Genomic DNA, 11754 nt, shown 5'->3' on the forward strand with positions numbered 1-11754 from the left:
CGCCCCCTGGTCCCTCCCCTCCCCCTCCCCCGCTCCCCCTTCCCCTCCCGCCCCTCCCTCCTCCCCTGCCCGGTCCCAGCCCCTCCCTCCCCTCCCCCACCCGCGATCCGGGCCGCTGCTGCTGGGTCGGACCCCCCGGGCTCAGCCCGGCCCCTCGCCGAGCTGCCGCCGCCGCCCCGTTTGCTGAGGAGGAGGCCCCCGGCCGGGGCGTCGGGCGCGGGGCATAAAACGGGCCGGAGCCGGCGCCCGGGGCAGTAGAGCCGCGTACGGCCCGGGTCAGCGCCCGCCCGCCCGCGCTCCTCCCGGCCGCTCCTCCCGCCCCGCCCGGCCCGGCGCCGACTCTGCGGCCGCCCGACGAGCCCCTCGCGGCACTGCCCCGGCCCCGGCCCCGGCCCCGGCCCCCTCCCGCCGCACCGCCCCCGGCCCGGCCCTCCGCCCTCCGCACTCCCGCCTCCCTCCCTCCGCCCGCTCCCGCGCCCTCCTCCCTCCCTCCTCCCCAGCTGTCCCGTTCGCGTCATGCCGAGCCTCCCGGCCCCGCCGGCCCCGCTGCTGCTCCTCGGGCTGCTGCTGCTCGGCTCCCGGCCGGCCCGCGGCGCCGGCCCAGAGCCCCCCGTGCTGCCCATCCGTTCTGAGAAGGAGCCGCTGCCCGTTCGGGGAGCGGCAGGTAGGTGGGCGCCCGGGGGAGGCGCGGGCGGGGAGTCGGGCTCGGGGCGAGTCAGCGCCAGCCCGGAGGGGGCGCGGGGCGCAGGTGGCTCGGCGCGGCGGGCGGCCCGGAGGGTGGGCGGGGGCAGAAGGGCGCGGTGCCTGGGACCCGGGACCCGCGGGCAGCCCCCGGGGCGGCACACGGCGCGAGCTGGGCAGCGGCCTCCAGCCAAGCCCGTCCCCGCAGGCTGCACCTTCGGCGGGAAGGTCTATGCCTTGGACGAGACGTGGCACCCGGACCTAGGGGAGCCATTCGGGGTGATGCGCTGCGTGCTGTGCGCCTGCGAGGCGGTGAGTGCACCCCGCGGCCGGCCCGGGCCCTGGCGGGTGGGGAGCGCCGGGTCGCGCGGGCGTCGGAGTGGACTCGGAGCTGCTGAGAAGGAGCCCAGTCGGCAGATGTTGGGGATATTTTTCTGGTGGAGGAAGGGGAATCAGCCCCTCCAATTCTTAGGTGCTGTTACTGATCGCCCACTCTGTGTGAGGCTCTGTGCCAACTCCGTTTCGTTCCCTGCTCATCTAACTCTCATGGCAGCCTTGCTAGATAGAGAGTATTATTATCCCCATTTTCCAGACAGGGACCTTGAGGCCCAGAGAGATGAAGTAGCTTGTCTAGGGTCACGCAGCTTGTAAGTGGCAGAGCTGGCTGACTCTGCGGGACATCCTTGCCTGGGGGGGTCTCATCAGTTGGCATCTTGCACTCACTTGGGTTTCCCGCCTTTTCCGGGAGCAGCCTCAGTGGGGTCGCCGTACCAGGGGCCCTGGCAGGGTCAGCTGCAAGAACATCAAACCAGAGTGCCCAACCCCGGCCTGTGGGCAGCCGCGCCAGCTGCCGGGACACTGCTGCCAGACCTGCCCCCAGGGTAAGTCTTGCTCCGCCCTGCGGGGAGGGAGGCAGGGCCACGATACTAGGTCCCGGGCCACTTGGATGGGGCGTCGGACTGGCCTTTCCCATGGCCAGCTGAAGCCCGTGTTCTTACCCCCCCGCCCGCAGAGCGCAGCAGTTCGGAGCGGCAGCCGAGCGGCCTGTCCTTCGAGTATCCGCGGGACCCGGAGCATCGCAGTTATAGCGACCGCGGGGAGCCAGGCGCTGAGGAGCGGGCCCGTGGTGACGGCCACACGGGTAGGGGGCTGGCGAACAGCGGGGTTGTGGTTGAGGCTGGGCCACCAAAGCGGCGTTTGACAGTGCTCAGGCCATCTTCCTCCCGTCCCAGACTTCGTGGCGCTGCTGACAGGGCCGAGGTCGCAGGCGGTGGCACGAGCCCGAGTCTCGCTGCTGCGCTCTAGCCTCCGCTTCTCTATCTCCTACAGGCGGTGAGAAAGGGGAAGGAGCAAGGAGGGGTCAGCTGCCGGGGCCCGGGAGGGAAACTGGGAGAGCTGGGAGGGGCTGCTTTTGGCTCAGTCCGGCCTCACCCGACCTCTCATTCCCAGGCTGGACCGCCCTACCAGGATCCGCTTCTCAGACTCCAATGGCAGTGTCCTGTTTGAGCACCCTGCAGCCCCCACCCAAGATGGCCTGGTGAGATGATGCCATTTATGAGCACTTGCCCAGTCTGGGCACTGTGCCGAGAGCATGCTCTGCATTGCCTCCCGTGGTCCTCACCACAGCCCAGTGGGAGGAAGGCACTGACATTATGATGCCCATTTTACAGAAGGGGGAACTGAGGCTCAGTAGGATAATGTGATTTGTTCAAGGTCACACAGCTAGTAAGTGGTGCAGCCAGGATTGGAACCCAAGCATCTGGCTCCAGCGTTCTTTCTTAAGCTTCCTAGGGCACCCTGGAGGTTCCTTTCCATGTTCCTTTTTCATAAGCCCTGCCTGGGCATCCTAATTGGCCTAGCCTGCACAGTGTCTGAGCGTAGGGCCTTCTTGTCTCTCTGCTCCAGGTCTGTGGGGTGTGGCGGGCAGTGCCTCGGTTGTCTCTGCGGCTCCTTAGGGCAGAACAGCTGCATGTGGCACTTGTGACACTCACTCACCCTTCAGGGGAGGTCTGGGGGCCTCTCATCCGGCACCGGGCCCTGGCTGCAGGTAGGGAGCAAAGAGCCCCGGGCGTGAAGTTCTGAGTCTTCTCTATCACCCAGGAAAGGGGGGGAGGGTTTCTGACGGGCTCTCATCATCGTCCCTTCCCCAGAGACCTTCAGTGCCATCCTGACTCTAGAAGGCCCCCCACAGCAGGGCGTAGGGGGCATCACCCTGCTCACTCTCAGTGACACAGAGGACTCCTTGCATTTTTTGCTGCTCTTCCGAGGGCTGCTGGAACCCAGGAGTGGGGGTAAGTGGGATGGGGGCAAAACACGTGAGAAGGTTAGGGAGAGCACCTGTCTCAGAAAGGCCCACATGTGCGGCCTTGCAGGACTAACCCAGGTTCCCTTGAGGCTCCAGATTCTACACCAGGGGCAGCTACTGCGAGAACTTCAGGCCAATGTCTCAGCCCAGGTGAGTGGGGATCTGGCTCTCGCTGCCACCTGTCTTGGCCTCTTGCTATTGCCCATCACACCCTGCTCTGTCCCCAGGAACCAGGCTTTGCTGAGGTGCTGCCCAACCTGACAGTCCAGGAGATGGACTGGCTGGTGCTGGGGGAGCTGCAGATGGCCCTGGAGTGGGCAGGCAGGCCAGGGCTGCGCATCAGTGGACACATTGCTGCCAGGAAGAGCTGCGACGGTGAGGCGGGGGGGGGGCCTGGTGCGCCGGGCATGCACAACTGAGAGACACAGACAAGTGCCAGGGTGGGTGTGGGAGAGATCCTGTGGACTGGGGGTGTAAGCGGCCATGGGGTAAACCTAGCCTCACCTGTCTTGCCCCTCCGTAGTCCTGCAAAGTGTCCTTTGTGGGGCTGATGCCCTGATCCCAGTCCAGACGGGTGCTGCCGGCTCAGCCAGCCTCACGCTGCTAGGAAATGGCTCCCTGATCTATCAGGTAAGAGCCAGGGGCTGCAGAAGGTGGGGGAGGGGTGGCGTGGGCAGCAGGCCCCAGGCCTTTACTGCCTCTCCACTTTGCCCTCCTCCATCCCTGCCCATCAGGTGCAAGTGGTAGGGACAAGCAGTGAGGTGGTGGCCATGACACTGGAGACCAAGCCTCAGCGGAGGGATCAGCGCACTGTCCTGTGCCACATGGCTGGACTCCAGCCAGGAGGACACACGGTGAGGGCTCCAGGTGGAGCTGGACCCCAGGGCCCAATGCATGGGCTGTGGGAAGCCAGGTTGGATGAGCAGGGATGTTCATTATCATCCACTCACTCATGGGTTCTCCCACTCATTCATTTATTCATTTGACTTTTTTTTTTTTTTTTTTTTGAGATGGAGTCTGGCTCTGTCACCAGGCTGGAGTGCAGTGGTGTGATCTTGGCTTACTGCAACCTCTGCCTCCTGGGTTCAAGCGATTCTCCTGCCTCAGCCTCCCAAGTAGCTGGGACCACAGGTGTGCACCACCACACCCAGCTAATTTCTGTATTTTTAGTAGAGACGGGGTTTCACCGTGTTGGCCAGGATGGTCTTGATCTCTTGACCTCATGGTCCGCCCACTTCGGCCTCCCAAAGTGCTGGGATTACAGGCGAGAGCCACCGTGCCCGGCATGATTTGACATTTTTAGTGAGCCCCAGACTAGGGACTAGAGTACAAAGCAAATCATATGTGGCCCCTGTGCTTAGCAAGCTCACAGTCAAATGGGAGCATTGGACCTGGAGAACAGTGCCACAGGCCACATATTAGTAAATGTAATGGCAATGGTTGCTACTTATAGGGCCTTTCCATGTGCTAGGTGCTGCATTGGTGGCCTTACATAGTTTTTGGCTTTCACAGTATCCATTTGAGAGATGAGGAAGTGAAGACTTGGAGAAGTTAAGTTACTCTTGAAGGTTGTTACATAGCTAGGAAGCAGCAGGGGAGGGCCTTGAAACTGGGCCTGCCAGGTCCTTATCCTGTGTTTCTGGTGTGTGGAAGTGTGTGTGGGTGGAGTGGGGGCACAAAATGGTCCAAGACTTCAGAACCTTGGACTCGTGTGAGAGCTGAGAAGGCCTATCCTCCCCTGCCCCCAGGCCGTGGGTATCTGCCCTGGGCTGGGTGCCCGAGGGGCTCATATGCTGCTGCAGAATGAGCTCTTCCTGAACGTGGGCACCAAGGACTTCCCAGACGGAGAGCTTCGGGGGCACGTGGCTGCCCTGCCCTACTGTGGGCATAGCGCCCGCCATGACAGTGAGTGTCCTTAGGGGTCTGTCTGCCCTTTGGTTTCCTAGAACATTTGAGGGATGGTGGCAGACAGCCGGAGCCTGGTGTGTCTTTCTTTGTGCCTAAGCTCCGGTTGCCATCTGAAGGTGGGGACATATAGGGTGGCCCTGCTGGCGGACTCTTCCTGTTGCTGAGGTTCAAGGGTCTAAAACTTGCTGCTCTCCAGGCCCTGGACCTATGGACAGTGTCTTCCAGCTCGTGGAATGTGTGCTGGGGAGCTGGGAATGCTGGGTTTGAGGGCTTGCCCTAGGCCACCTTCTCACCTGTCATCTCTCCTCTGTCTGGACCCAGCGCTGCCCGTGCCCCTAGCAGGAGCCCTGGTGCTACCCCCTGTGAAGAGCCAAGCAGCAGGGCACGCCTGGCTTTCCTTGGATACCCACTGTCACCTGCACTATGAAGTGCTGCTGGCTGGGCTTGGTGGCTCAGAACAAGGCACTGTCACTGCCCACCTCCTTGGGCCTCCTGGAACGCCAGGGCCTCGGCGGCTGCTGAAGGGATTCTATGGCTCAGAGGTAAGGATGTGATGGTAGGCGGCAGCTTGGAACATTTCTGTTTTTTAGCTTGAAGGGCTGTGTGGGCCTGTGTTGGGGAAAGCAGAGAGCAGGCAGCCTGGTATAGAAGAGCTGGCATAAATAAAATAAATTAAACAGTGATTTGTAGGCTGGGTGCAGTGGCTCAAGCCTGTAATCCCAGCACTTTGGGAGGCCAGGTGGGTGGATCACCTGAGGTAGGAAGCTCAAGACTAGCCTGACCAACATGGAGAAACCCCATCTCTACTAAAAATACAAAATTAGCTGGGCGTGGTGGCACATGCCTATAATCCCAGCTACTCCAGAGGCTGAGGCAGGAGAATCGCTTGAACCTGGGAGGTGGAGGTTGCAGTGAGCCGAGATGGCGCCATTGCACTCCAGCCTGGACAGAAAGAGCAAAAATCCGTCTCAAAAAAAAAAAAAAAAAAAAAAAAAAAAAGAGCTGGCATGGGCTTGGGAGTCAGATAGACCTGGGCATGACTCTGACTGGCTTTTTATTATTCATTCTCCTTTCTAAGTCTTTTTTTGGTGGGGTGTCTTGGATAGTATGTAATATCCTGGACCTCAGGGGGGTAGGTGGGATGGACTAAGCCCTTCAAGTGGGGTGAGTTCTCATGGACTTGGTCAGAGAGACCTGGCTTCCAAGCTCCACACTATTGCCAATGGGCTTTGCTACCATGAAGACTTTATTTAACCTCCCTGGCTCTCAGTTTCTTCATCTGTGAACTGGGGACAGTAGGCTCAGCCCTAAAGTGCCTTATTCCTATCCATTGTCCTGTCTATGTGCAGGCCCAGGGTGTGGTGAAGGACCTGGAGCCGGAACTGCTGCGGCACCTGGCAAAAGGCATGGCCTCCCTGATGATCACCACCAAGGGTAGCCCCAGAGGGGAGCTCCGAGGGCAGGTAGGTGGCGAGTGTGGGCAGTGGGGGCAGTGGGGAGGGTGCAGAGTTGGAGGGGCACTGTGTGCCATTGCACTAGTCACTTGCTGTCTCTGAGTCCTGGGGGTGGTCGTATCACAGCGCCCCCCCGGCTGGTGGGGAGGATGAGCTACATGAGGAGGCTGGCAGCCCGGCACCCTATCCCTGGCAGCTGAGATGATTGTGGAGCGAATGGCATCCTCCTGGGCCACTGCAGCGCTCAGGGGGCCGAGGTGTCTCCTGCTGGCTGGCCAGCTGCCGCTGGTAAAGACGCGAGGGGGAGCCCCAGCGCTGCCTCAGTTGGCCTCTCCTCCCAGGTGCACATAGCCAACCAATGTGAGGTTGGCGGACTGCGCCTGGAGGCGGCCGGGGCCGAGGGGGTGCGGGCGCTGGGGGCTCCGGATACAGCCTCTGCTGCGCCGCCTGTGGTGCCTGGTCTCCCGGCCCTAGCGCCCGCCAAACCTGGTGGTCCTGGGCGGCCCCGAGACCCCAACACATGCTTCTTCGAGGGGCAGCAGCGCCCCCACGGGGCTCGCTGGGCGCCCAACTACGACCCGCTCTGCTCACTCTGCACCTGCCAGGTAGGAGGTCCTGGAAGGGCACACTGGGTCCTGGGATCTGGAGCAAGGGGCCTGGACACTCCCGTCAATGCCTCTGCTCCTCTCTGCAGAGACGAACGGTGATCTGTGACCCGGTGGTGTGCCCACCGCCCAGCTGCCCACACCCGGTGCAGGCTCCCGACCAGTGCTGCCCTGTTTGCCCTGGTGAGTTCCCCGCAGGGGAGTGGAGGGAGGAGTTGGCCCAGTGCGGACAGGTCCTTTGGGGAGGGAATGAGGGTGGTCACTCTCTGCTTTCACCATTTCTTTGGCTCCACAGAGAAACAAGATGTCAGAGACTTGCCAGGGCTGCCAAGGAGCCGGGACCCAGGAGAGGGTGAGCTGGAAGGGTGCGTGCAGGGTGGGAGGCCCCAGAGGAGCCATTAGGTTGAACCAGGAGGGGGACAAGAAGGGGAGAGTATATAGGGGGTGGCCTGAGGGGCACAGATTCCAAGTGATGCCTGACAGGACTCATTAGTGTTACTGGCCCCCAGGTGGGCCCTTGGCTTAGGCTCGTGTGGGGGTGGCCTGAGGCTCAAGCCTTGGTTGTGGGCCCAGCTGATGAGCTCATACTAATGGCTGCTGGGCCCTGTTCCCCACCAGGCTGCTATTTTGATGGTGACCGGAGCTGGCGGGCAGCGGGTACGCGGTGGCACCCCGTTGTGCCCCCCTTTGGCTTAATTAAGTGTGCTGTCTGCACCTGCAAGGTATGGCCACCCAATCTTCTCTGGTGCCATAACCCAGCGGGGTCTGCAGAGATGGGGAGGGGCTGCCAGGTGAGGAAGGCCCGTCCTTGGTGAGGAGGGCTCAAGAATCAAAACGATATGAGAAAAGGCCCTTGCGCTCTGAGAGTCGGCTTCCTGTGGGAAAATGAACAGGGCTGACCTGGGTGTGGATTCTGGCTCTGCCAGCTAACTAGTGCCAGTGACCCTAGGCACCTTCTGTCCCTGAGCCTCACTTTCCTCTCCTGTAAGCAGATATGATGGCACCTACCTTGCAGGGTTCTGATGAGGAGCTGAGTTTAGGTCTATAAAGCCAGTCCGGGCCTCTGAGTAAAAGGCCACAGAGAGACTGCATTTGAGGTGTGGAATAGGAGAGGGAGTGGGCAGGAGGCTTATGTGCCCCCTGCCTGACACTCCTTGCTCAATGGATCCCTACAGGGGGGCACTGGAGAGGTGCACTGTGAGAAGGTGCAGTGTCCCCGGCTGGCCTGTGCCCAGCCTGTGCGTGTCAACCCCACCGACTGCTGCAAACAGTGTCCAGGTGAGAGAGGTGGCTGAGCACTGAGGCCTCACCTTTGGGTTGAGGCAGGCTTTGTCCTGGGTGAGGGGAAGGGTGCTCAGTTAATTGAGCATTATACTGAGCACTGCTCTGTGCCTAGCCTGGAGCCAGGACTCTAAATGCAGTGGAAAGAATGTGATATACTAGTGGGGTATGATGGGTTCTGGTTCCTGCTCCATCCATCCGTCCATCCATCCATCCATCCATCCATCCATCCATCCATCCATCCATCCGTCCATTCATCTATCTATCCACCCATACAACCATCCACCCATTGATGCATCCATCCATGCATCCATCCATCCCTCCATCCATCCACCCATCCACCCATTGATGCATCCATCCATCCATCCATCCATCCATCCATCCATCCATCCATCCGTCCCTTCATCCATCCATTCATCTGCCCACCCACCCATCCAAATTTATCACCTACTAAGTGCCAGAAACTGCAACGTGCTGGGTATTCAAAGAGAATACTCATAAAACCTTGTTGGTCCTCCTGGGCTGATCCTTTCTCTTTCCCTCTCAACAGTGGGGTCGGGGGCCCACCCCCAGCTGGGGGACCCCATGCAGGCTGATGGGCCCCGGGGCTGCCGTTTTGCTGGGCAGTGGTTCCCAGAGAGTCAGAGCTGGCACCCCTCAGTGCCCCCTTTTGGAGAGATGAGCTGTATCACCTGCAGATGTGGGGTAAGTGGGGAGCAGAGGCTTGTGTGAGGTGGGTACTGGGAGCCTGGTCTGGAGTAGGGAGACCTTCCCAGGGAGGTCCCTGAAGAAGCTGAAGGTCACTGTGTCCCAGTGCCTCTGGGGGACACTCAGTGTCTGCTCTGTCTTGTACCAGGCAGGGGTGCCTCACTGTGAGCGGGATGACTGTTCACTGCCACTGTCCTGTGGCTCGGGGAAGGAGAGTCGATGCTGTTCCCGCTGCACGGCCCACCGGCGGCGTAAGTGAGGGAGTCCAGGGTCAGCAGCTGTGAGTGGAGGGCTCACCTGCCTGTGGGACTCCTGATCAGGGAAGGGAGCACTCACTGTGTGCAGGAACAGTGCAGCCTGCCTCACAAGTGCCATTCCAATCCACCCTCACAGCAACCTGGTGGAATTGTTATTTATGACCTTTTCTTTACAAATGAGATTTCTGAAGCTCAGAGAAATTAAGCAACGAGATGAAGGTCACCCAGCTGTGTGCACTGACCTGTTTAGAAAATACTGGCCTTTCTGGGACCAAGGCAGGGATGCTTTGCCCTGCCCTCTATGCCTCTCTGTGCCTCTCCACTCCCTCTCCCCTCCTCCAACATTCCCTCCCTTCTGTCTCCAGCAGCCCCAGAGACCAGAACTGATCCAGAGCTGGAGAAAGAAGCCGAAGGCTCTTAGGGAGCAGCCAGAGGGCCAAGTGACCAAGAGGATGGGGCCTGAGCTGGGGAAGGGGTGGCATCGAGGACCTTCTTGCATTCTCCTGTGGGAAGCCCAGTGCCTTTGCTCCTCTGTCCTGCCTCTACTCCCACCCCCACTACCTCTGGGAACCACAGCTCCACAAGGGGGAGAGGCAGCTGGGCCAGACCGAGGTCACAGCCACTCCAAGTCCTGCCCTGCCACCCTCGGCCTCTGTCCTGGAAGCCCCACCCCTTTCCTCCTGTACATAATGTCACTGGCTTGTTGGGATTTTTAATTTATCTTCACTCAGCACCAAGGGCCCCCGACACTCCACTCCTGCTGCCCCTGAGCTGAGCAGAGTCATTATTGGAGAGTTTTGTATTTATTAAAACATTTCTTTTTCAGTCTTTGGGCATGAGGTTGGCTCTTTGTGGCCAGGAACCTGAGTGGGGCCTGGTGGAGAAGGGGCAGAGAGTAGGAGGTGAGAGAGAGGAGCTCTGACACTTGGGGAGCTGAAAGAGACCTGGAGAGGCAGAGGATAGCGTGGCAGTTGGCTGGCATGCCTGGGTTCCGCAGAGGGGCTGGGGATGGTTCTTGAGATGGTCTAGAGACTCAAGAATTTAGGGAAGTAGAAGCAGGATTTTGACTCAAGTTTAGTTTCCCACATCGCTGGCCTGTTTGCTGACTTCATGTTTGAAGTTGCTCCAGAGAGAGAATCAAAGGTGTCACCAGCCCCTCTCTCCCTCCTTCCCTTCCCTTCCCTTTCTTTCCCTCCCCTCCCCTCCCCTCCCCTCCCCTCCCCTCCCCTCCCCTTCCCTTCACTCTCCCTTCCCTCTCCCTTCCCTTCCCTTCTCCTTCGTTCACAGCAATGGGGTCTTGCTATGTTGCCCAGGCTGGTCTTGAACTCCTGGCCTCAAGTGATCCTCCTGCCTTGGCCTTCCAAAGTGTTGGGATTACAGGCATGAGCCACCACACCCAGCCCAGCCTCTACCTTCTTTGTCTAAAGTGAGGCAAACACTTTTCTGTTTTTTTCCTGGAAACTCGTGTTCTGGACCAGTTCTGGGGCAAACTGGGGTCAGAGTGGATTGGAATCAGCTCTGATCCAGCTTTTGGCTGTGCTTACCTTGAGACCAAATCATGTAGAGAATAAGACAAGACCCTCCTGCCCTGTTACCCTCTTCTCTCTCCCCTCCCTCATTCCTACCATCAAGACCCAGGCATTTTGACAAGCTCTAGGAAATGAGGGTATCAGAACAGAAATCTAACAAATGTATGTAGCTGCAGATCCATCTTTCATATAAACAATGTGGAGTCAAATGAATCTGGGATTTTATGATCTGGTAGGGCAGGGGAAAGGGAAATCATAGCTTGCTTATGGAGTGTTAGGCATGCTGTATGTGGTTAAGAAGTTATTGTCTTAGCCCATTGAAGCATCGAGTTCCAGTTCTGCTGTTAACTAGCTGAGTTATTTAACTTTCACAAACCCCCATTTCCCTTTTATAAAACACATGATATCCCCCTCACAGGATTCAATCAGAACACGTGCATTACACAAGCTCAGGGCCTGGCACGTATTCGCTGCAAAAGGCACTCTCCCCGAGGTGGGATTTGTGGGGCTGGTTTGGAATGAAGGCAGGGAGAATCGCAGGGAGGAGAGTGGCCATGGGCTTCACTTGCGTTTGGCAACTGATATGCTGCTGAATGCTTAGGGGAGAGGAGGGGCTGGACTGAGGATTCAGGGATGATGAGGATGGGGATAACCACTTGGGCCAGAGCCCTGGCTGTTAATAGGAGGATCGTGAGGGCCAGATAGGGATGAAAAAGCAGCAGTATTCAGCACGGGGTTAAGTGTGGGAGTGAGGCACCAGTTGTGGTATGATGGAGATTTGGCCCAGAAATGGTGTGCTGACAGTGTTGTCCTCCTTGGTGTGGAACTTTGGTGGGAAGAAGGGTTGGAAAGGGAAATTTTGATCCTTGGATTTAACCCGAGTTTGTTACTGATGCTCACAAGACTAGGGGAAGGAATAAGGCAGGTGAGTCACTCTAGGATGGCTCAGTGAGCTCCACAGAGCTGGAACCACAGGCACCAGGAGGGATTCAGAGCAGGCCTCAGTGCACGTCAGCTGAGTGAACC

General features: G+C 59.2%; 1 protein-coding gene across 14 annotated transcripts, besides 1 other annotated feature; it reads left to right on the plus strand.

Moving 5' to 3' along the window:
- On the plus strand, window positions 252-10937 carry CHRD (chordin). Of its 14 annotated transcripts, NM_001304473.2 has the most exons (24): window positions 508-664; window positions 890-993; window positions 1274-1328; window positions 1433-1562; window positions 1694-1822; window positions 1914-2013; window positions 2131-2218; window positions 2587-2728; window positions 2832-2972; window positions 3083-3136; window positions 3214-3361; window positions 3510-3616; window positions 3721-3840; window positions 4735-4891; window positions 5216-5436; window positions 6244-6357; window positions 6690-6953; window positions 7043-7136; window positions 7249-7305; window positions 7572-7675; window positions 8129-8231; window positions 8785-8939; window positions 9091-9193; window positions 9565-10937. In NM_001304473.2, exons 11-24 carry the CDS (start codon window positions 3259-3261, stop codon window positions 9618-9620), a joined length of 1758 nt encoding a protein of 585 aa, NP_001291402.1. In that variant the 5' UTR covers window positions 508-664; window positions 890-993; window positions 1274-1328; window positions 1433-1562; window positions 1694-1822; window positions 1914-2013; window positions 2131-2218; window positions 2587-2728; window positions 2832-2972; window positions 3083-3136; window positions 3214-3258; the 3' UTR covers window positions 9621-10937. The 14 variants fall into 14 exon arrangements, 13 of the variants coding, with proteins under 13 accessions (NP_003732.2, NP_001291401.1, XP_016862877.1 ...); NM_003741.4 differs by lacking the exon at window positions 1274-1328 and having other exon boundaries at window positions 252-664; window positions 3054-3136; window positions 9565-10027; NM_001304472.2 differs by lacking the exon at window positions 1274-1328 and having other exon boundaries at window positions 252-664; window positions 3054-3136; window positions 9568-10027.
- Window positions 6197-6698: an enhancer, noted in NCBI's record as "H3K4me1 hESC enhancer chr3:184103787-184104288 (GRCh37/hg19 assembly coordinates)". NCBI's record gives its function as "activates a minimal SCP1, AML or CMV promoter by ChIP-STARR-seq in primed H9 embryonic stem cells {active_cell/tissue: H9 hESC(primed)}" and the evidence as "EXISTENCE:reporter gene assay evidence [ECO:0000049][PMID:30033119]".

Source organism: Homo sapiens, chromosome 3 (assembly GCF_000001405.40).
Source record: "Homo sapiens chromosome 3, GRCh38.p14 Primary Assembly".
Taxonomy (NCBI): Eukaryota; Metazoa; Chordata; class Mammalia; order Primates; family Hominidae; genus Homo; species Homo sapiens.